The 23649-nt window shown below is 38.1% G+C and overlaps 1 protein-coding gene across 5 annotated transcripts in view; it reads right to left on the bottom strand.

Moving 5' to 3' along the window:
- ANKRD42 (ankyrin repeat domain 42) overlaps positions 1-23649 on the bottom strand; it is a 70571-nt gene that overhangs the window by 16866 nt on the left and 30056 nt on the right. For 4 of the 5 annotated variants that reach the window (NM_001433541.1, NM_001300972.2, NM_001300973.2 and 1 more), the window contains exons 6-10: positions 22362-22562; positions 19545-19670; positions 10908-11013; positions 6483-6658; positions 1793-1919 (exon numbers count right to left, since the gene is read on the bottom strand). In NM_001433541.1, coding sequence (NP_001420470.1) covers positions 1793-1919; positions 6483-6658; positions 10908-11013; positions 19545-19670; positions 22362-22562 — 736 coding nt within the window. The remainder of the gene's footprint in view (positions 1-1792; positions 1920-6482; positions 6659-10907; positions 11014-19544; positions 19671-22361; positions 22563-23649) is intronic. The other variant, NM_182603.4, reaches the window with a different exon arrangement.

The following is a 23649-nucleotide window of genomic DNA, read 5'->3' as shown; positions in this document are numbered from 1 at the left end:
AGAAAAACAGAAGCCAATGTGATAGAATCATTTAAAGAATAAAAGGGAGGCCAGGCGCGGTGGCTCACGTCTGTAACCCCAGCACTTTGGGAGGCGGAGGCAGGTGGATCACTTGAGGCCAGGAATTTGAGGCCAGCCTGGCCAACACGGTGTAACCCTATCTCTACTAAAAATACAAAAAAAAAAGTCATTAGTAGGAAATAATTTTTCCACCATGAGGTACTTTTCTAGACTACAAGGAATCTAAGAACTTTCAGCTAGGCTCTTAGACCAAGGCTAACACTAAAAAAAAAAAAATCTACATCTCAAAACACTTCAAACAGTATAGAGGCAGTGGACAGCCACCTATATGATATGATTTGTGAGATACCAAGAAAGCTCCTGATTTAAAACAAAAACAAAAAAATCAGTCTGCCACAGCTTCCTGGTGTCTAAAATCACATCAAGAGGTAGTTTCAGTTAATAGGGTAGCAGGGAAAAAAACAGAAAAAAGAGTATTTTGGCCTAATGTTTTGCCATCTGTTTAAATTCCCAAGTATCCATCCATGGAAGAATGACACATTAATCCTTATATTATTTTTTATTTTCTTTCTTTTAAACTAGAGCCAAATGTCAGCTTAACCACATTAATCCTTATCAAAGATTTAGATGTTACTCTGAATACAGTTAGCAGACCTCTTTCAGAACTAGATTTGGAAACAGGTGGAGGAAAGGGAAACAGGCAGTTCTAAGAGTGTGACGGAACAAGACACGACCAAAGGAAAAGGCAGGAAAAGCAGAGGACAAAGAAGGGAATCCATGTGTGGTTCTCTTTCTGGACCCATGTTTGATTAAATCCAAAGTTCCCTCTCCTGTCTCTCTCTGCTCCCTGTCCATTCTGGAAAGCAGATAGACAGACAAGCAGAGAGACAGTAGGATGAAAGAAGCTCGAGGCATCCTCTATCCCAGCAGCTATTAACTACAGTAGTCTCTCAGTATCAAAGAGGAACTGGTTCCAGGAAGCTCCAGACACCAAAACCCACGGATGCTAAGTCCCTTACATTAAAATGGTATAGTACATACGTATCTGCATATAATCTATATGCATTCTCCTGTATAATTTGAATCATCTCTAGATTACTTATTATAGTAGTATACAATAAGTTGTTGTAGCATATTATTTATGGAATAATAACAAAGGAAAAAAGTCTACAAATGTTCAACACAGACACAACCATCCTATTTCTTTTTCCTGATTATTATCTATCCAAGTTTGGTTGCATCCATGATGTGGAGCCCACAGATATAGAGAGCCAACTGCTATTAGAGAGGTACCCATTGTCCAGAGAGCCAATTTAGGGTACAGGAAGTGAAAGGCAGAGACAACCATGCACTTGCTCACTGCCTCTAGATGCAAGAGCATTCTCTGTTGGGTACTATAATCAGTGAACACAAGACCTAGTCTCAGATTTATGAATGGGCAGTGTAGCCTGATGAAAATGTTCAGAGACTATGTTAGAATGTCAGTTTTGCAAGATGAGAGTTCTGGAGATTGGTTGCACAACGATGGGAATGTACTTAACACTACTGAACCGTATACTTAAAAAATGGTTAAGATGGTAAATTTTATGTGTATTTTATCACAATTATTTAAAAATTTTAACTCCTTTGTCATCTAAGGGCTTAGGAGAAAAACAGGATGGAACCTAACACCCTTTGGCAAGATGAAAGTAAAAGTTGCTGATCAACAAACCCTCACATGGCATTTAGAGAGGTATTTAAAAACAAATCATTAAAGTTTTAAGGACATTACTTTTCAGACTCAAGCTGTTCTTTCTTCTGCTTTAAATCTTCTTCTGTTATGCCTCCCAAGTGTTTATAGTTGCTCTCGGCAATTTCCAGGAGGTGTCTCAATTCTACAATTTTCTTGTAAGCTCTCACTGCAAGACAGAGTTGAGTAGGAACCTAGTTAGACATATAACAGCTCATGTGTCCACTGGGTGCTGGTATTCTTGAGCATATTCTTCCTCTAGACTAGTGTCTGTATGGTTTGGAGAGGGGGGTGGAGGAAGGTTGGTATATACAAAGAAGGATAAATATCAGTAACAGAATACTAAAATGAGCACGCAATGGAATACCTAAATGGAGGATTCTTTCCCTGCTACTGGAGCATGTATCAGGTTGTTATGACTATTAACGCTATGAACAAGAAGGTTTTAAAAGACTAGCAGTATTGACCAGGCATGGCGGTTCACGCCTTAATCCCAGCACTTTGGGAGGCCGAGGCGGGTGGATCACCTGAGGTCAGGAGTTCGAGACCAGCCTGGCCAACATGGTGAAACCCCGTCTCTACTAAAAATACAAAAATTAGCCGGTGTGGTGGCACGTGCCTGTAATCCCAGCTACTCATGAGGCTGAGGCAGGAAAATCACTTGAACCCGGGAGGCAGAGACTGCAGTGAGCCGAGACCACATCACTGCACTCCAGCCTGGACAACAGAGCAAGACTCCGTCTCAAAAAAAAAAAGACTAGCAGTGTTTTAGGACTAATGGTGGATTACAGGACCACGTGCAATCTACTATGTAACAGAAAATTAGAAAAACTGAAATATACTTGATTTTAAAGTACCAGCCACAAATTTTGTGATTGGTCACTTGTAGTACCTATGCAAGAGAATAGTAAGAGAAGGAAGTACATTGAGAGATATTTTGAACTATTCTCCAACTATTAGAACTATGAATTCTCCATCCTTTATGGCAGTGGTTCTCTGCCAAGGGTCATTTGGCAACCTCTGAATAAGTTTTGCTTGTCACAGCTTGAGAGTGTGGAACAGGGAGGTGCTACTGGCATCTAGTAAGTGAAGGCTCAGGATGCTACTAAACATCTCACAGTGCACACAGAAAAGCTTGCCTCAACAAAATAATTATCTGGCCCAAAATGTCAAGAGTACAGAAGTTGAGAAACTGCTTTACAGGACCAGCTTAGCAAATCACAGCCTCTTGTTCCTAACACCAATGATTTATCTATCAACAGGTTAGAGCTGCAGGTTCTAAACTGCATATACCTGAATCAAATGGGATGCTTTTTAAAAATGTATGTGCTTGAGCCCCATTCCAGACCTATAAGTTCAAGAATATGTACTTAATAAAAGGTTCTCGGCCAGGAGCAGTGGCTCACGCCTATAACCCCAGCACTTTGGGAGGCCAATGCGGGCGGATCACTTGAGGTTGGGAGTTCAAGACCAGTATGGCCAACATGGTGAAACCCCATCTCTACTAAAAATACAAAAATTAGCTGGATGTGGTGGCACATGCCTGTAATCCAGCTACTCGGGAGGCTGAGGCAGGAGTACCACTTGAGCCCAGGAGATGAAGGATGCAGTGAGCCGAGGTCGTGCCACTGCATTCCAGCCTGGGCAACAGAGTGAGACTTTGTCTCAATAAAAAAAAAAAAAAAAAAAAAAAAAAAAAGGGCAGCCAGGCGAGGTGGTTCACGCCTGTAATCCCAGCACTTTGCGAGGCCGAGGCAGGCAGATCACGAGGTCAGGAGATAGAGACCATCCTGGCTAACATGGTGAAACCCCGTCTCTACTAAAAATACAAAACAAAATTAGCCAGGCGTGGTGGCGAGTGCCTGTAGTCCCAGCTACTCAGGAGGCTGAGGGAGGAGAATGGCGTGAACCCGGGAGGCGGAGCTTGCAGTGAGCCGAGATTGCGCCACTGCACTCCAGCCTGGGCAAGAGCAAGACTCCGTCTCAAAATAAATAAATAAATAAATACATACATACATAAAAATGTCTCCTCAGACAATTCTCAAGGGCAGACAGGTTTGGGAACCACCATAACCACTAGTAAGAAGATAGAGGGGATTAAGATAAAAAATGTCAGAAAAGACTGAAAGAGCAGTGAGTATTTAGCTTATATAATAATTTCATTAATATTTGAAAGTCTGTGTTTCGTAAAGCCTGTTCTATGGGGTCCTCAGAGGTAAGAACTAAGATTAATTGGAATTAGCTCCAGGAAGAAAGATTTCAATTCAACAAAAGAGGAAATTTCCAATGAAAACAATAAAAATCACGTATTTATGCAGTGTCTGTGATGTCGAGACACTACACTAAGTACCTTACACATTTTAATCCTCACAGAGAAGAAATGCTTTTCAAAAGAAGACATACACATGGACAACAAGCATATGAAAAAATGCTCAACATCAGGAATCATTAGAGAAATGCAAATCAAAACCACAATGAAATGCCATCTCACATCAGTCAGAATGGCTATTATTAAAAAGTCAAAAAACAACAGATGCTGGGGAGGTTGTGGAGAAAAGAACATTCATACACTGCTGGTGGGAGTGTAAAGTAGTTCAACCATTGTGGAAAGCAGTTTGGCGATTTCTCAAAGAACTCAAAACAGAAAGGAATATATATCACACTATATTCATACTATATTCACACTATATTCAAACTATAAAGACACATGCACACATGTTCATCGCAGCACTATTCACACAGCAAAAACATGGAATCAACCTAAATGCCCATCAACAGAAGACCGGATAAAGAAAACGTGGTGCGGCCGGGCACAGTGGCTCACGCCTGTAATCCCAGCACTTCGGGAGGCCAAGACGGGTGGATCACAAGGTCAGGAGTTCAAGACCAGCCTGATCAACATGGTGAAACCCATCTCTACTAAAAATTCAAACATTAGCTGGCTGTGGTGGCACGTGCCTGTAGTCACCACTACTCGGGAGGCTGAGGCAGAAGAACTGCCTGAACCCAGGAGGCGGAGGTTGCAGTGAGCCAAGATCGTGCCACTGCACTCCAGCCTGGCGACGGAGTGAGACTCCATCTAAAAAAAAAAAAAAAAAACTTAACTACCATTCACCGAATTCCCCAGGCCAGAAATCTGTCATCCTTGATTACCCTCTTTTTCTAACACCTCATAGCCACATCTATCAGCAAATCCTATCATCTTTCTCTCTTCTAAATACACCAAATCTCACCACTTCTCATTATCCCCATCATCTCCACTCCAGTCCAAGCCATAAACAACTCTCTCCTGAACTATAGCGATAGCCCCCTAACTGATTTCCCTGCTTCCACTCTTGCCCTATGAAGGAAAATGGGCTTTCCACAACACCAGAAATCTGGAGGCAAAAACAGTCAAGGCAAACAAGATCTTGGCTTGGCTTTCACTCTATCTTCCCAACAAAGTATGGTATTACTGATGCTGATTTTTTTCAAGAACCAGGATATATATATAAATATTGCTTAAAGGGAATACATAGAATGTTAATGTAAGCTCTTCTTAAATGGTGATGAAAGCCTCTAATATGAAAAGGTGGAAGCAAAACAAGAATGGAGATGTCCAATATCACTGGTAGTTACAGGCCTACATCAGGAACTCTAGGAGCCCAGGAAATCTGTGCAGATATTCTACGTCTGCTCTTGTACAATTCTAATTTAGTATCCTTGGCATCAGGATATAATTATATCAGGAACTTCATCCAACCTTATATTGTTAGATGGAGTATGTTCTCTTCCCACCTAATTCATACCCCATCTGAAATGCTATGCTCTTTTCCACCTCCCAGTCTATCACCCACCCAACAGGTAGAGTGATACTGTTTTTAAATGTGAATCAGATCACATCATTCCCCACCCTGAATCCCAACAATGGCTATTTAAAATAAAATCTATATGCTGAGATTTTGTAGTGAAAAAAGGGGAAAAATGAACAAATAAAAATCGAAATCTAAAATCCTTATTAGGCCCTACATGATCTGACTGGGTCCCTGCTTACCTTTCAGACCAATCTGTCGCCACTTCCTTAGGGATTCTACTCAAGCCACACTGACCATTCTCAATGCTACATAATGGCCTTTACGTGCACTGCTCCCTCTGCTGGCACGTTCTTCCAAGATCTTAATATGACTCATTCTCATCACTCAGGTCTCTGCTCAAACATCACCACCTCAGAGAGGCCTAATGACTTTCTTATCTATAGCACCACTCTACTCTATTTACTTTATATATCTATTTTCTTATCAATTATTTATCACCCTCCCTCCTGACTACCACCATTCGAATGAAGTTCCTTTGTATTGTTCACCATTACTTCAATAACTACAACAGTGTCTGGCACATAGTAGACAATAAATATTTGTTGCTATTATTATCTATAACAATCATTTGCCAACTAACCATGGAAATCCTTGAGATGTCTCTTTCCCTGCCCTGTTTCCTTGATCCACTGAAGAAAATACTTAAGTATTTTCTTATATAACTTTCCACCCCCTGAGGGACAGAGATTATGTCTTATACTTTTTATATGTTCAACAACCCTAGTACAAAAACTTATATTAGTTCTAGTTCCTCCAAAAATATCAAATTATTTTACTTTGTAGGCAGTATTTGTCTTTAGAATAGTTTCCAAATTTGTGGTAAAAAGTGGCTGTGGTATTTCTGAAAGGATAAATCACAACAGAGGCAGCATACTTACTTCTGGCATCTGTTTTATCCAAGTCACTCAGACATAAATCATCCTTGGCATCAGTGCTTCCCTCAACACCATGTCTTATAAAATATTTCACATCATTTTCATCAATTTCATTTTCGTCATCTATATCATATTTCTGTAGCTCCTCTAACAGCTTCACTGCTGCCAAATGGGCAAACCTGTAGAAAAGAATCAATAACTAACCAGATCCACAATCTTCTTCAAACTGAAACTGCAGCTTGCACTTAACTTAGGGGATTACACTCTGTACACCCTGCCATCAATCCACTCACCAGCCAAGGAGCCAAAATCTGAAGGTCAGTGACAATTTGACATATATTCAACTATGTAAGAAACTCAGTTACTTGGCACTACGGACAATTATTCATATTAAACACTGATTCCATAATTTTTATTGGCAAAAATACACTGGGAATGGAGATCCAATACCAAAGGAATATGTAGTATGCTCTCAAGCAGAGCTGCTCAACTGAATAGAAGGCCCAGAACCACCCTCCTTGATTACCTACAGTTATTGCCTTTTCTTGGCCTAATTTAGATTATAGAATTCATTTTCATTCCAGTTTTAGGGCTAACTATTAATATAGCTCTAGCCCCCTCTATCTTCACCCTTCCTCAAGCCAAAGCATTTGGTACGGCTTTGAAATTTAATGAAAAAATAATGACCTTTCCATTCATGTTTTCTAATTCTCCTTAATCTTTCCTGCATCTCTGTGAACGTTCCAGTAATGTACTCTTGGTTTTGGAGTTGTTGTGATTGCATGCAACCTGCATATTTTCCGCAATTTTGCTAACTGGAATTTTTAATATATTTTCTTACAACTTGAAGAATTACTCACTAAACATAAAAACCTTAAATCCTATTTTCTCATACTTACATAACCAAACACACACATTACCTCCTACCAGATACTGCAAATCATTAAAGACATAGTAATAAACATATGCAGGAAGTTGTAAGGTTTATAGAATTCATTAAGTCTACGACTAGGTTGTAATTTAACAGCTGTCATTTACTGAGTGCTTACTTTATGCTAGATTCAAAGTTATCTCTAAAATAACCCTACACCCACACCAAGCATTTTGGTGCATGAGAAAAAAATGTGGACCAGAAATTATGGAAAACTTCAGATATACCCATAGTATTCAATCACCTATTTGATGCTGATACAAAAATATACAAATAGACCAATGGATAAAATAGTTCAGAATTAAGCCCACACATACATCAAGAACTGATCTGACAAAGGCACAAAGGCAGTGGAGAAAGGATAGTCTTTTAAACAAATAGTCTAGAACTGGATATCCATATGCAAAAAAAGAACTTGGACTCATACTTCATATCATATACAAAAATTAACTCAAAATGATCACAGACCTCAATATAAAAGCTAACACTAACTTCTAAAAGAAAACATAAAAGAAAATTTTTATGACTTTGTGTTAATCAGACTTCTTTAGATATGACACCAAAATCATAATACATAAAAGGATAAATTAGTAAGAAATTTTGCTCTTCAAAGACATTAAGAGAATGAAAAAACGAGATACAACCGGTAAAAAAGGGAAATCTTTGCAAAGTATATATCTGAAAAAGAACTAGTATCCAGAATATACAAAGAACCTTTAAAACTCAACATCAAGAAAACAATTCAATTTTTTAAAGTGGGCAAAAGATCTGAATAATCACTTCATCAAAGAAAATATACAGATGGCAAGTATGTATATTTAAAAGATGCTCAAAATCATTTTTCATTAGAAAATGCAAATTAAAACCACAGTGAGCTACCACTACATACCTATTTCATTACTAGAATTAAAAAAAGACCCTGACAATACCAAATGATGGTGAGAATGTAGAACAACAGAAATTGACATCCATTGCTGACAGAAATGCAAAATTTTTTTTTTTGAGGGTCTAGCTCAGTCGCCTAGGTTGGAGTGCTGTGGTGCGATCTAGGCTCACCACAACCTCTGCCTACCAGCTTCAAGCAATTCTCCTGCCTCAGCCTCCCAAGTAGTAGCTGGGACTACAGGTGCACGCCACCACACCAGGCTAATTTTTTGAATTTTTTTTTTTTTTTCGGAGACAGAGTTTCGCTCTTGTTGCCCAGACTGGAGTGCAATGGTACAATCTCGGCTCACAGCAACCTCCACCTCCCAGGTTCAAGGAATTCTCCTGCCTCAACCTCCTGAGTAGCTGGGATTACAGGCAAGCACCACCATGCTTGGCTAATTTTGTATTTTTAGTAGACACAGGGTTTCTCCATGTTGGTCAGCCTGATCTCAAACTCCTGACCTCAGGTGATCCGCCCGCCTCGGCCTCCCAAAGTGCTGGGATTACAGGCATGAGCCACCATGCCCGGCCTGAACTTTTCCTTTTTAGTAGAGACAGGGTTTCACCATGTTGGCCAGACTGGTCTCGAACTCTTCACCTCAAGTGATCCACTGCCTTGGCCTCCCAAAATGCTGGGATTACAGGTGTGAGCCACTGCACCCAGCCCCTAGAAATGCAAATCTGTATGGCCACTTTGGAAGGCACTTCGGCAGTTTCTTATAAAGTTAAACATACACTTGGCATATGGCCCAACAATCCTACTCATAGACTTACCAAAGAATTGAAAACATGTTAACACAAAAACCTGTATAGTAATGTTTACAGCAGCTTTATTCATAACCACCAAAAAATGATACAATCAAGATGCCCTTCAACCTGTGAGTGGATAATCGAATTATGGAATGCTATGGAATTCTACTCAGCTGTTAGAAGAAAATGAACTACAATCAAGATGTCCTTCAACCTGTGAGTGGATAATTGAATTATGGAATACTATGGAATTCTACTCAGCTGTAAGAAGGAAATGAACAGCTAATACACACAGATGAATCTCAAAATAATTACGTTGAGTGAAAGAAGCCAGACATAAATATATATTGTATGATTCCATTTATATAAAACTCTAGAAAATGCAAACCAATCTACAGTGACAGGAAGCAGATCAGCGTTTACTTGGGCACACTGGGGAGCAGTCAAAGGGAGAGAGGTTATAAAGTGGCAGGAGACTTTGACGGTGATGAATATGTTCACTATCTTAATTGTGGCAATGGTTTCACAGGATACGCATACATCAAAACTCATCAGTTGTACCGTACAAATATATGCATTTTATTGTGTGTCAATTATACCTTGATAAAGCCATTTTAAACCAATAAAATAGACTTGAGCTGACAATGATCCCAGGTACATGGTACAACAAAACCACACTCCAAGTCATCAAAGAAATTCCATAAACAAAATTTTAGGGAACATGAGCTCACAAACAAAAGTTGCATGGCAACTTAGCAAATGATTGGACCAGAGCATACTGTCAAGACTCATCTGCCATTGTTAGCCCACACTCCTAGTTTAGATTCCAGCCTTCTAATCCACATGCAGTTCTTCAAACATATAAGGTGTTGTCTTACAACTCCTCCTTACATTTACACTTACGCTTACAAGTGTCAACAGAAATGTTGCTTCCTCAAAAGAAAAGTTTTTTCTTTCACCTCTATCTAAATTCTGTCCCCATGCAGTTTCCTTCATAACTTTTACCTTCCTCTGTATTAAAGTTTCTCCCTTACAACTTTCAAACAGAAAGATTTTTTTCTATATTCTTAGTGTACCTTACACATACCATGTAATACAGTATAATGATTAGAATTAATAAGAATTTTATTTGCATATTTGTCTCTCCACAATACTGTAAACTCCTTGAGGGCGGTGACTGTGTTTTCTCCCCTTTGTATTTCTACCACTAATCACAGAACTTGGAACATGGTAAGTATACGGGAAGCTGAATGAAAGAACAACCAAACGAACAAATAGATGGAGTAAATATTTCTTGAGAACCTAACCTGAATGAGCTGGCTAGGTTTAAAAATACATGCTATATTTAATTCGGATGTAAATTGCAAAATATGTTTCAAAATCCAAGTCACTTATTTTTCTATTATTAATGTTGACTATTTATTTTTATCACACAGCATTTCTTAACAGGGAATGCTACAGGCATTTGGATGGGACAAATCATGAATTACTGTTCTGAGCACTGCAGAACATTTAGCATTCCCAGACCGGACCTCCAGTTGGTGAAGGTCTCTGGTCATTGTGACAACCTTCCCCAACATTTCCAAAGACCCCTCCCATGAGGAAACGGGAAAATATTACCTCCCAGTGGAGAATTACTGCTTGAAAAAGAAAAGCTGATATAATGGCAGCTGTCAATTCAGCTTGAAAATTGTCATTCCATCTGTATTTGATTGAGTCCTCTAAAATTCCATTAAAACTTCAGAGATTTTTGAGTCCAAAAAAGTATACGCAAAACTTTAAAGAGAAAAGAAAGGAGTAAAGAAGACAGAGATTTATACCTCTTTGCCACATCACTGGGTCTCTCCCCTGCTTTGTTGGTAATATTACTGTCTGCTCCCATTTTAATTAACCACTGCAAACACTCTATGTGGCCTTGTCCAGCAGCTGTTCAAAAAAAGGAAAAAGAACAGGAATTACACACAAAAAAGTTAGTTATTAGTAACAATTTTCTAAAATTTTGGACAGTACCATTATAGAGTACTTAGTTAAGTATTGATCCTTGCAGTAACTGGCAAAAGTACATTGGGCAAATATTATTTTCTCTATTTCACTTACTGATTCATTAGACAAACATTTAATCAACTGTGCTCAGGCCCCACACAGATAATTTTACACACGGATATAAAAGCTGAAACTCAAAAAGGTTATTTATGTATTTATTTAAAATCACACAGCTAGTAAAAAGTAGTTTGAAACTAGAATCCAGGCTTTTCTAATACTATCCAGTGCTTATCTCCTGCTATAAATAGCTCCTAACCAATCTTGTATTTCACAAGAATGTGAGCACATTCTAACCATAAGGACCTACACAGACTTCAAAAAGTCTTGCTTCAGCATATATTTATATGATAGATGTATGATATATATGTATTCTTCTGATTCTTACAACTCAAAATTTATAGGCCTGTAAAGCCACACTTAATTACCTAAACTGTTTACCACCTTTGTCCAAATCTTCACCTCATAACACATGCTGTCTTTATTTTCACCTTCACAACTCTGCTTATGTGTCTTCCCACCTAAAGCCAATCACTCAACAATGTGCTCATTTAACCTGTAACTATTCTTCTTCATCCATCTTGAAACTCAAGGAAGCTGAAGAAAACAAACTGAATAGACTTAAAAGAAAGACTTGAGTTTAGGTCTATTAAACAATAAGATGTGAGGACAGGGCTATAATCTTCATATCCTCAGACGACAGCAAGTGGCTGCAACTTACAGACCCTCAACCAATGTCTAAAGAGTTGATGAGTGAATGAATACTTTTAAAAAATGCAATCTTAGCTCTGCTCTTACTAGCTATATATCTAACCTCAGTCAAGCCACCTGACTTCTCTAAACATCAATTTCCTCATCTTTAACATAGACGATTGTTTTATAAGCAAAGCACACTGCTGCTTTATAAAACTGCAATAAGTATTAAATGTGATAAGAGCTTTTCACTCTACTAAGTAGTATATATACATCAGGTATTATTACCAAATCCCTATGAATAGCTCCTCAATAATTTGATCCTTAGCAACTTCTTCCATCCCTCAATTCCTATTCCCAAACTCCTATGACATGTATTTTAAGAACCTAATTATTTTTGGCCATTAATTGCATCCTATCTTAAAAAGAAATCTCTAGTTCTTTTATGGTATAATTGTGTAACTCTTTAACAGTAAGGTCCAGATCTCATTCTGGCTCACAGTACAGGCACATGGTTGGTGCTGAATATGTATACATGACCTTGCAAAATAAATCAAAGAGCAGGAACTTTGGGTGTTAATTTGGTGCTTTAAAAAGCGAACCCACCTCCATTACTGGCAAAAGAGAGGACACAGAGGAATATCAAGGGACTAAACAACCCTATCACTACAGTCCTACAGCCCAGGTGGCAAGTCTCTAAGAACTCTGGTTCTGTTGTCCTCTGCCTCAGAGCCATCTGCCAAATTACAAGCTGGCTTCTGCAGAGTCTGGGGCTTCTCTCTCTCCTACAGCCTATCCAGAACCCACTAACACAGAAACTTCAGGATTTCTCAGACCTCTATTAAAAACCCCACTTTAGACAAAAATGGCAACATATTGATCTTTTCTGTCATTAAGAGTCAAAAAATCATATTTATGAGCATGGATAATGCTGAATTTTACGAGACAGAATGAATTTAGCCCAACATTTCATTTTATCATATGGGAAATGTTTAAAAACAGGAGGGAGGGAGGTTAAGTAATGTATCTACAATGAAATGCAATAAGAGAATTTTACCCAAGATTTTTATTGAATATTGATTAGGATATGTGACTAATTTGACCAATGTTTTAAAAGGAACAAGAAAAATTATATAGTTGTTAGAAATTTTTAAGAAATGACTTGAAATAATTAAGATTTAAGACCAAGTTTAAAAAGGAGAAGTCATAGTTCTAAACAATTATTAAATAACTAAAAAGAATGCCTCAATAATAAATACCACAGCTTATCTACTAAATGAAATTAAAACTAAAGGAAAAAGCAGTATGATAAAATGTGAGAAACATGAATTAAATTATAAACAGATGTCAACTTTTATATGACCAATTTTAGTACAGTAGAAACATATAGATGGTACCCAAGAAAAGGGTAATGTCTTAATGTACTTCTGAATGACTGAAGGATCAATGAAAAAATTAAGAAGGAAGTTGAAAAATTTCTTGAAACACATGATAATGGAAACACAACATACAAAAACCTATGAGATAGAGCAAAAGCAGTACTAAGAGGAAATATTGTAGTTATAAGTGCCTACATCAAAAAAGAGAAAAAACTTCACATAAAAAATCTAATGAGGCCGGGCACCGTGGCTCATGCCTGTAATCCCAGCACTTCGGGAGGCCAAAGCGGGTGGATCACCTGAGGTCAAGAGTTCGAGAACAGCCTGGCCAACATGGTAAAACCTTGTCTGTACTAAAAATACAAAAATCAGTTGGGCATGATGGCACATGCCTGTAATCCCAGCCACTTGGGAGGCTGAGTCAGGAGAATTGCTTGAACCCGGAAGGTGGAGGTTGTAATGAGCCAAGATGGCACCACTGCACTCCAGCATGGGTGACACAGTGAGACTCCATCTCAAAAACAAAACAAAACAAAACAAAACAAAATCTAATGATGCATCTTAACAAGAAAACCAAGAGCAAGCCAAATACAAAATTAGTAAAAGAAAAGAAACAATAAAGATCAGAGCAGAAACAAATGAAATTAAAATGAAAACAATACAAAAGATCAATGAAACAAACAGCTGGGCTTTTTCTGAAAAGTTAAACAAAATGGACAAACCTTTATCCAGACTAAGAAAAAAAGAGAGAAGATCCAAATAAATAAAATCAGAAATGAAAATGAGACATTACAACTGATACTGCAGAAATTCAATGGATCATTAGTGGCTACTATGAGTAACTATATACCAATAAATTGGAAAATCTAGAAGAAATAAATTCCTAGACACAAACAACCTACCAAGATTGAACCAGGAAGAAACCCAAAGCTTGAACAGACCAATAATGAGTAATGATATCAAAGCCATAATAAAAAGTCTCCCAGTTAAAAAAAAAAAAAAAACCCCAGACCCGATGGCTTCATTGCTGAATTCTATCAAACATTTAAAGAAGAACTAATACCAATCCTACTCAAACTATTCTGAAAAATAGAAGGGAAGGGAATACTTCCAAATCCATTCTACAAGGCCAGTATTACCCTGACTCCAAAATCAGACAAAGACACATCAAAAAATAAAACTACAAGCCAATATCTCTGATGAATATTCATGCAAAAATCATCAACAAAATACTAGCAAACCAAATTCAACAATAAATTAGAAAGATCATTTCATCATAACCAAGTGGGATTTACCTCTGCGATACACCGATGATTCAACATATGCAAATCAATCAATATGATACATATCAATAGAATGAAGGACAGAAACCATATATGATCATTTCAATTGATGCTGATAAAAGCACCTGACAAAATTCAACATCTCTTCTTAATAAAAACCCTCAAAAACTGGGTATAGAAGGGACAAATTCAACATAATAAAAGTCATATATGACAGACCCACAGCTAGTATAATAGTGAATATGAAAGCACTTCCTTTAAGACCTGGAACACAAGGATGCCCACTTTCATCTCTATTATTCAACACAGTACTAGAAGTCCCAGCTAGAGCAATAAGACAAGAGAAAGAAACAAAGGGCATCCAAATTGGAATGGAAGAAGTCAAATTATCCTAGTTTACAAATTATATAATCTTATATTTGGAAAAACCTAAAGACCCCACACAAAAAACCTATTAGAATTGATAAGCAAATTCAGTAAAGTTGCAGAACACAAAATCAACTTACAAAAATCAGTAGCATTTCTATATGCCAACAGTGAACAATCCAAAAAGGAAATCAAAATAGTAATCCCATTTATAATAGCCACAAATAAAATTAAATACCTAGGAATTAACCAAAGAAGTAAAGGATTTATATAGGGAAAACTATAAAACACTGATGAAAGAAACTGAAGAGGACATCAAAAAATGGAAAGATATTCCATGTTCATAGACTGGAAGAATCAATATTGTTAAAATGTCCATACTACTCAAAACAATCTACAGATTCATTGCAATCCCTATCTAAATACCAATGACATTCTGCACGGAAATAGAAAAAAAAAAAAAAAAAGCTAAAATTTATATGGAACCACAAAAGACCCAGAGTAGCCAAAGCTATCTTAAGCAAAAAGAACAAAACTGAAGGAATCACATTACCTGATTTCAAATTATACTATAGGGCTATAGTAACCAAACAGCATGATACTGGCATAAAAACAAGACACATAGACCAATAGCTGGGATTACAGGCACACACCATCATGCCCGACTAATAGACCAGAAACAAATCTACACACCTACAGTGAACTCATTTTTGACAAAGATGCTAAGAACATACAAGAACATACACTGGGTAAAAGACAGTCTCTTCAATAAATGGTGCTGGAAAAAACTGGATATCCATATGCACAAGAAAAAAACTAGACCCCTATCTCTCACCATATACAAAAATCGAGTCAAAATGGAATAAAGACTTAAATCTAGGACCTCAAACTATGAAACTACTAAAAGAAAACATTGGGGAAACTCTCCAGGACATTGGTCTGGGCAAAAATGTTTTGAGCAATACCCTACAAGCACAGGCAACCAAAGCAAACATGGACAAATGGGATCACATCAAGTTAAAAAGCTTCTGCACAGCAAAGGAAACAAAGTGAAGAGACAACCCACAGAATGAGAGAAAATATTTGCAAACTACCCACCTGACAAAGGATTAATAACCAAAATACATAAGAAACTCAAACAACTCTATAGGAAAAACTAATAATCTGATTTTTAAATGGGCAAAAGATCTGAACAGACATTTCTCAAAAGAAGACATACAAATGGCAAACAGATATATGAAAAGGCACTCAACATCATGGATAGTCAAATAAATGCAAATCAAAAGTACAAATAAGATATCATCTCCCCCCAGTTAAAATGACTTACATCCAAAAGACAGGCAATAACGAATGCTGGTGAGGATGTGGAGAAAAGGGAGCCCTCGTACACTGTTGGTGAGAATGTAAATTTGTACAACCACTATGAAGAACAGTTTGGAGGTTCCTCAAAAAACTAAAAATAGAGCTACCACACAATCCAGCTATCCCACTGCTGGGTATATGCCCAAAAGAAAGGAAATGGGTATATCAAAGAGACATCTTCACTCCTATGTTTGTTGCAGCATTGTTCACAATAGCTAAGATGTGGAAGCAATCTAAGTGTCCACCAACAGATAAATGGTAAAGAAAATGTGGTACATATACACAATGCAGTACTAATCCGCCATAAAAAAGAATAAGATCAGCTGGGCGCAGTGTTTCACACCTGTAATACCAGCACTTTGGGAGGCCGAGGTGGGCGGATCACGAGGTCAGGAAAACGAGACCATCCTAGCTAACACAGTGAAACCCCGTCTCTACTAAAAATACAAAAAATTAGCCGGGCATGGTGGCACACACCTGTAGTCCCAGCTACTCGGGAGGCTGAGGCAGGAGAATCGCTTGAACCCAGGAGAAATAGGTTGCGGTGAGCAGAGATCGCGCCACTGCACTCCAGCCTGGGCGACCGAGTGAGACTCCGTCTCAAAAAAAAAAAAGAATAAGATCTTGTCATTTGCAACAACATGGATAGAACTGGAGATCATCATGTTAGGTGAAATAAGCCAGGCACACAAAGACAAACTTTGCATGTTCTCACCTATTTGTGGGATCTAAAAATCAAAACAATTGATCTCACGGACACAAAGAGTAGGATGGTTACCAGAGGTTGGGAAAGGTAGTAGGGGAGTCAGAGGGAGGTAGGGATGGTTAAAGGGTACCAAAAAATAGAAAGCATGGGACTGGATGCAGTGGCTCATGCCTGTAATCCTAGCACTTTGGAAGACCAAGGCGGATGGATCACTTGAGTCAGGAGTTCGAGGCCAGCCTGGGCAACATGGCAAAACTCTGTCTCTACAAACAATACAAAAAATTAGCCAGGCATAGTAGCATGTGCCTGTAGTCCCAGCTACTCAGGAGGCTGAAGTGAGAGGATCCCCTGAGCCCAGGAGGTCAAGGCTGCAGTTAGTCGTGATCGCCCCATTGCATTCAAGCCTGGGCAACAGAGTGAGACTATCTGATAGCACAACAGGGTGACTATAGTCAATAATAACTTAATTGTACATTTTTAAATAACTAAAAGAAGGTAACTGGATTGTTTATAACACAAAGGATAAATGCTTGAGGGGATGGATACCCCATTCTCCATGATGTGAATATTTCACATTCCATGTCTGTATCAAAACATCTCACATACCCCATAAACATATACACCTATGTACCCACAAAAACTAAAAAGAAAAAAAGAAAAGGTAAATGTCCCCCAACAATGCTCTTTTCCAGCTGTTGCGACTTATAATCCCCCTCCACCACACCATCTGATCCACTCCTAGCCCTAGGAGTCCTTGATGGATGGACTCACGAAAAGAGGGTGAAGAGCAAACTCTTTTGGCTCCTCATCACTTTCACCTTCCCAACTTCCAACATCTATATTAAAAACACCTTGTTGTTGTAGAACAGTCTCTTTAGAACCTGCTTCCAGATCCCTCATTTCTCTTTCAGTTCAAGTGGTGAAGAAATGACTAGGACAGGCTGAAAACTAGCCATCAATGAAACTTAATTTACTGTCCCCACAAAGATGTACTATGAGCACCATGAGTGAGCCTATCTTTTCCTACTGTGTCTAAATGACACCCCCACACACGCGCATTAGCAATAAAAAACATATGTAGGATATGAAATGGGGGCTATAAAATGGATGTGTTATAGGAGGAATTGTGTTCCCCTCAAAATTCATATGTTAAAGTCCTAACCTCCAGTACCTCAGAATCCAACTGTATTTGGAGATAGGGCCTTTAAAGTGGTAACTAAAGAAAAATAAGGTGATATGGGTGGGCCCTAATCCAATTTGACTAATTTACTTACAAGAGGAGGACATCAAGACACAAATATGGTCATGCACAGAGGAAAGACTATGTGAGGGTATAGCAAGAAGGCAGCAGGTCATCTATAAGCCAAAGAGAGAAGCCTCAAAAAAAACCAAACCTGCTGCCACCTTCATCTCAGACTTCTAGCCTCCAGAACTCTGAGAAAATAAATTTATGTTGCTTAAGCCATCCAGTCTGCAGCATTTTGTTATATCAGCCCTAGTAAACTCATACAGTGGCTTTGCTCCAAGAAACCACATTAAAAAAAAAACAAAAAAAAACAAAAAAAACTTTAGGTACATGTTCAGCCTCCTCCCCATTCACATATCTCACAGTAGAGAGTTTAACTCCTGGATGGCCAGCAGAAATGGATGGAGTGAGATACTCCAAATCGAGGGCACAGAGCTCACCAATCTGTGGACCTCTCTCTGTGTAGGAGAAAACATCCTTTGCATCCCATCTCTTCTCATTTCCCTTGCTTATAAAACCATTGGTACACATAGCACTTAGATTCTGTACTTTGAGATACATTATGGATTAAACAAAGTAAGCTAAAAACCTAACCAATGGGAACATAATATATGATCTGAGGACTGCCAGAAGTATTTGTGAAATAAAGTCCAATTCAAACACGATTATATTAATAAGCCTACTATCATTTTAATCTAAGAGTTTAGTAAGAATCACCTGCCATCAGGCCAGGCATGGTGGCTCACGCCTGTAATCCTGCACTTCAGGAGGCCAAGGCGAGTGGATCATTTGAGGCCAGGAGTTCAAGATCAGCCTGGCCAACATGGTGAAACCCCATCTCTATTAAAAAGACAAAAAATTAGCCGGGTGTGGTGGCACATGCCTATAATCCCAGCTACTAGGGAGGCTGAGCTTGGGAGGATGACTTGAGCCCAGGAGGTCTCCACCTGCACTCCAACCTGGGTGACAGAACCAGACCCGGTCTAAAAAAAAAAAAAAAAAAAAAAAAAAAAAAAAAAAAAAGAGAGAGAGAGGGATGATTTCTATTTTAGTATGAATTAATAGGTCATTTTAAAAATGTTATCCTAAGAAACTTCTCTAGCAGTACATTTCACATCTTAACTAACATGACAATGTCACTATAGAAATTTTATTGGAATTACCCTTGAATAAGATAATGTATGAATATCTGGCATCATAAAAGAAACATTACACTTGAATTGAAAATTAGGCATTCTATATACCATACAAGATAGACTGATATCTGCTAGGGTATCAGAAAAAAGTTTCATGTTTCATGTGTTTCTGACTGATAATTACTTTAAAAGATGAATAACTCAGCAGCTATTGTATCCGAACTGAAAGGAGGAATCATAACTCACCTTTATGCATAGGAGTTGATCCATTATCAGCACGCTCATTAATATTGATTACTCCATCTTCCACTAATTTCTTAAGCATCCCCAAATCACCCTTAAAGGCAGCCACATGACCTGGAAATGCTAAAGCTATGAATAAAAAAATTCAGCATTTCAATAAACATAAGAGTTTATTCTTTTCCCTGTCTTAAGCTGTCATATATTTCAGGTTTCAATATTTTCTCAAATATAAGGCTGTTGTAATCGGATGAGTTCAGTTGATGACTACCAGTAAAAAGAGAATTATAAAATGAGATTATTACTAATCATTCTACTCCTTTTACCCTCAGGACTTCAAACATGCCAGAAGTATTGTACCAGGACAATTTTTAGCCATACTCTCTTTCTCTCTCATATCACCACAAAACACAGGGGATGGTCATTTAAAACCCTTTAAAACCCTTTGTATAAAGACACACTTAGAAGCCGGGCATGGTGGCTCACGCCTGTAATCCCAGCACTTTGGGAGGCTGAGATGGGTGAATCATTTGAGGTCACGAGTTCAAGACCAGCCTGGCCAACATGGTGAAACCCTGTCTCTACTAAAAATACAAAACTTAGCCAGGTGTGGTGGCTCACGCCTGTAATCACAGCTACTCAGGAGGCTGAGGCAGGAGAATCACTTGAACCTGGGAGGTGGAGGTTGCAGTGAGCCAAGAGTGAGATTCCATCTCAAAAAAAATAAATAAATAAAGACACACTTGTTCTCACGGCCTGCAGTTGCACAGACCTCTCCTTTTCTGCTTATAAGATAGTGAAAACAGCAAAATAGACTAGAAGCAAATAAGAAGTCTGTATGTGCACACACATATAGAGTCATCCCTTGGAATCCTAAGGGTTCCAGGACCCCCAAAGATACCAAAATCTGTGGATGCCCAAGTCCCTTATATAAAATGGTATAATATTTACATATAAACCTATGCACATCCTCCCTCCCATATACTTTAAATAATCTCTAGGTTACTCACAATACCTAATACAATAGAAATGCTATGTAAATAGTTGTCATACTGTTTTGTTTTGTTTTGTTTTGTTTAGAGGCAGGGTCTCACTTTGTCACTGAGGTGTGGTCACAGCTCACTGTAACTTTGAACTCCTGGGCTCAAGCAATCCTCCCACCTCAGCCTCCCGGGTAGCTAGGATTACAGGGATGCACCATCATGCCCTACTCTTGCTGGTCTTTATTGTATTCTGTCTTACTGATCTGTATGTCTGTTTGCCATTACTACACACTGCCTTGATTACCATAGCATTATAGTAAAAGTCTTAAAATCAAGTCGTGTAAGTCCTTCCAACTTTGTTATTTTAAAAATATTCTTTGGCTATTCTAGGTTGTTTCTTTCCATATGTAAAAATGAGAATAGCTACATTTCAGATGCATTGAGAGGGTTAAATTATGAATTCTTTGGTAACCAAGTATCAAGAAGATCTTATTTTTAAAAAAGACAAAACAATGCAATCCTTACAAGTGCTTACTATCATGTCTGGCATTTTTAGTAAGGACTCAGTTTATGTAGTTACTATCATTAAAGACATTTTATTAAGCATCACCTATATGCTAGGGATCAGGTTAGGTACTTCCAGTTGTGTGTGTGTATGTGTGTGTGTATGTGTGTGTGTGTGTGTATGTGTACATATGTATGTGTACAGATGTACAGCTGGCCCTCCATACCTGCAAGTTCCACATCTGCAGATTGAACAGATGGAAAATATTTGAAGGAGAAACAAATAAAAATAACAATACAACAATAACAAATAATGCACATAAAGAATAATACAGGCTGGATGCAGTGGCCCATGCCTATAATCCCAGTGCTTTGCGGGGAGGCTGGGGCAGGAGGATCACTTGAGGCCAGGAGTTTGAGACCAGCCTGGGAAACATAGTGAGACCCCAACTCATATATATAACTAAAATATAAAACCACAGAATGGAATGAAAAATCTAAAATAATAGTTTACCCTTGAGGAGGAAGAAAAGGTAATGGTATTAGGGAGAGAGCTCCAAAGGGCTTCAACTCTATATTTTATTCCTTTTTTTTTTTTTTTTTTTTTTTCCAGGATGGAGTTTCGCTCTTGCTGCCCAGGATGGAGTGCAATTGCATGATTTCAGCTCACCACAACCTCCACCTCCCAGGTTCAGGTGATTCTCCTGCCTGAACCTCCCGAGTAGCTGGGATTATAGGCGTGAGCCACCGCATCTGGCCTCTATATTTTATTCTTAAATTTAGTGATTCACTGCTCATTATGTTAATCTTTTTCTTTTTTTTTTTTTGAGACAGGGTCTCATTTTGTCACCCAGGCTGGAGTGCAGAGGTACAATCACGGTTCACTGTAGCCTTGACTTCCTGGGCTCAATCCATCCTCCCACCTCGGCCTCCCAAGTAGCTGGGATTACAGGCATGCCTCCACATACAGCTAATTTCTGTATTTTTTGTAGAGATAGGGTTTTACTATATTTCCCAAGTTGGTCTCAAACTTCTGGGCTCAAGCAATCCACTCACCTCAGACTCCCGAAGTTCTGGGATTACCGGCATGTGCCACTGCAACCAACCTCTACACATTTTTGTCTAAAATATTTCATAGTAAAGAATCTAGATGAATGTATAGACAACGATATGTAATAAATTTTAATATGTTATATATTAAACATGTTTATATTTTTACATATAACGTATATAACATTTGCCTTATATCTTTTCCTATTTCATTGATTCTACTCATTATATTATCATCATCATCATCATCACATTATATGCTAGAACATATAACTTAATTACTTACTTTCCTGATCCTCTAGGTCTTTTCCTTCATACTCAGCCCCCTGGATAAACTGTAAAATGTTCTGCTTGAAGAACCTCTGGGCCAAATCCAGTACATTTTCTCCATTATCATTGAAAGCTTTTAAAACTTGCGTCGCACTGCTCATTCTACTGACTAGGAATTTGAAACAGTGAAGGTGGCCTTCCATGGCTGCTAAGTGAACTAGAGGAAAGGAAAAAAAATTAATTTAATTTTTATTTTTTAAAATTTTTATGTATGTATGTATGTATTTAGAGACAAGATCTTGCTCTGTAACCCAGGCTGGAGTGCAGTGGCACAATCATAGCTCATTATAGCCTCCAACTCCTGGGCTCAAGTGATTCCCCCCACCTCATCCTCCCAAGTAGCTGGGAGTACAGGCAGGAGCTACCATGCCTGGCAGAATTTATTTTTTAAATTGAAACTAAAATAACTTGAAAAAAGAAATAACACATTAGCTCTATTCCTTATAGGGAGATGACTATCCCTGCCCCAAATGACAGGAACACGGAGAAGAGACCTTTTTCCCAGCCTGCATTTCTTTACACAGTCAGCCTTCTAGTCACTTCAAAGCAGTGAGTAAATGGTTGAATAGTTACACTTACCATGAGTCTATAAAGACCAGATGAGGGTCACCGAAGAGCAGGCCCAGAAAGTTATCTTAGAAAGTGAAATCCCAATTATGCAGTTTATAATTACAGGATAAAATGCTTATTATATAAGTAAAATAAATAAGTAAAATTTAATATTTTGGGAAGAAGTGGAAGAAATAAACCAATAGTCACTCTGCAAATAAGAACATTATAATATTTTATCACTATGCATTTGTCACTTTTCTATAATAATTTATTCTTTTTATTATAAACAAGAAGAATGGATTGAACTGCAGACTAGGTATATACACTGACTTCAACATTTATAGCCCTTCAGGAAATAACAGAAAAGGTATTTTTTAAAGCTATAAAAAACTAAAGAAAAAAACAAGAATGCCATGAACAGACAAGAAATTTTAAGGAATCCCTGAAAGAAAGTATATTGGATGAGACTCAGGGACAGCCATAACCTAAAACTTCATGCAAAAAAAAAAAAAAAGGAATGAATCTGGAGTTGTTACAAGCTTTGAGGCAATGATTACAAAGACCAAGACAGTCTTTACACTTAAGAAATGACCGCTTGGGAAATAAGCCCAATTCACATATCTTGATTATGGAGAGGCAGGGTAATGTCCAAGTGGCCAGTATAATTCAGGTGAAACAAGAAGTACCAGAAA

This window comes from Homo sapiens, chromosome 11 (assembly GCF_000001405.40).
Source record: "Homo sapiens chromosome 11, GRCh38.p14 Primary Assembly".
In the NCBI taxonomy this organism is placed as follows: Eukaryota; Metazoa; Chordata; class Mammalia; order Primates; family Hominidae; genus Homo; species Homo sapiens.
The sequence above is the reverse complement of the archived record's forward strand: the minus strand, read 5'-3'. Positions and strand labels throughout refer to the sequence as shown.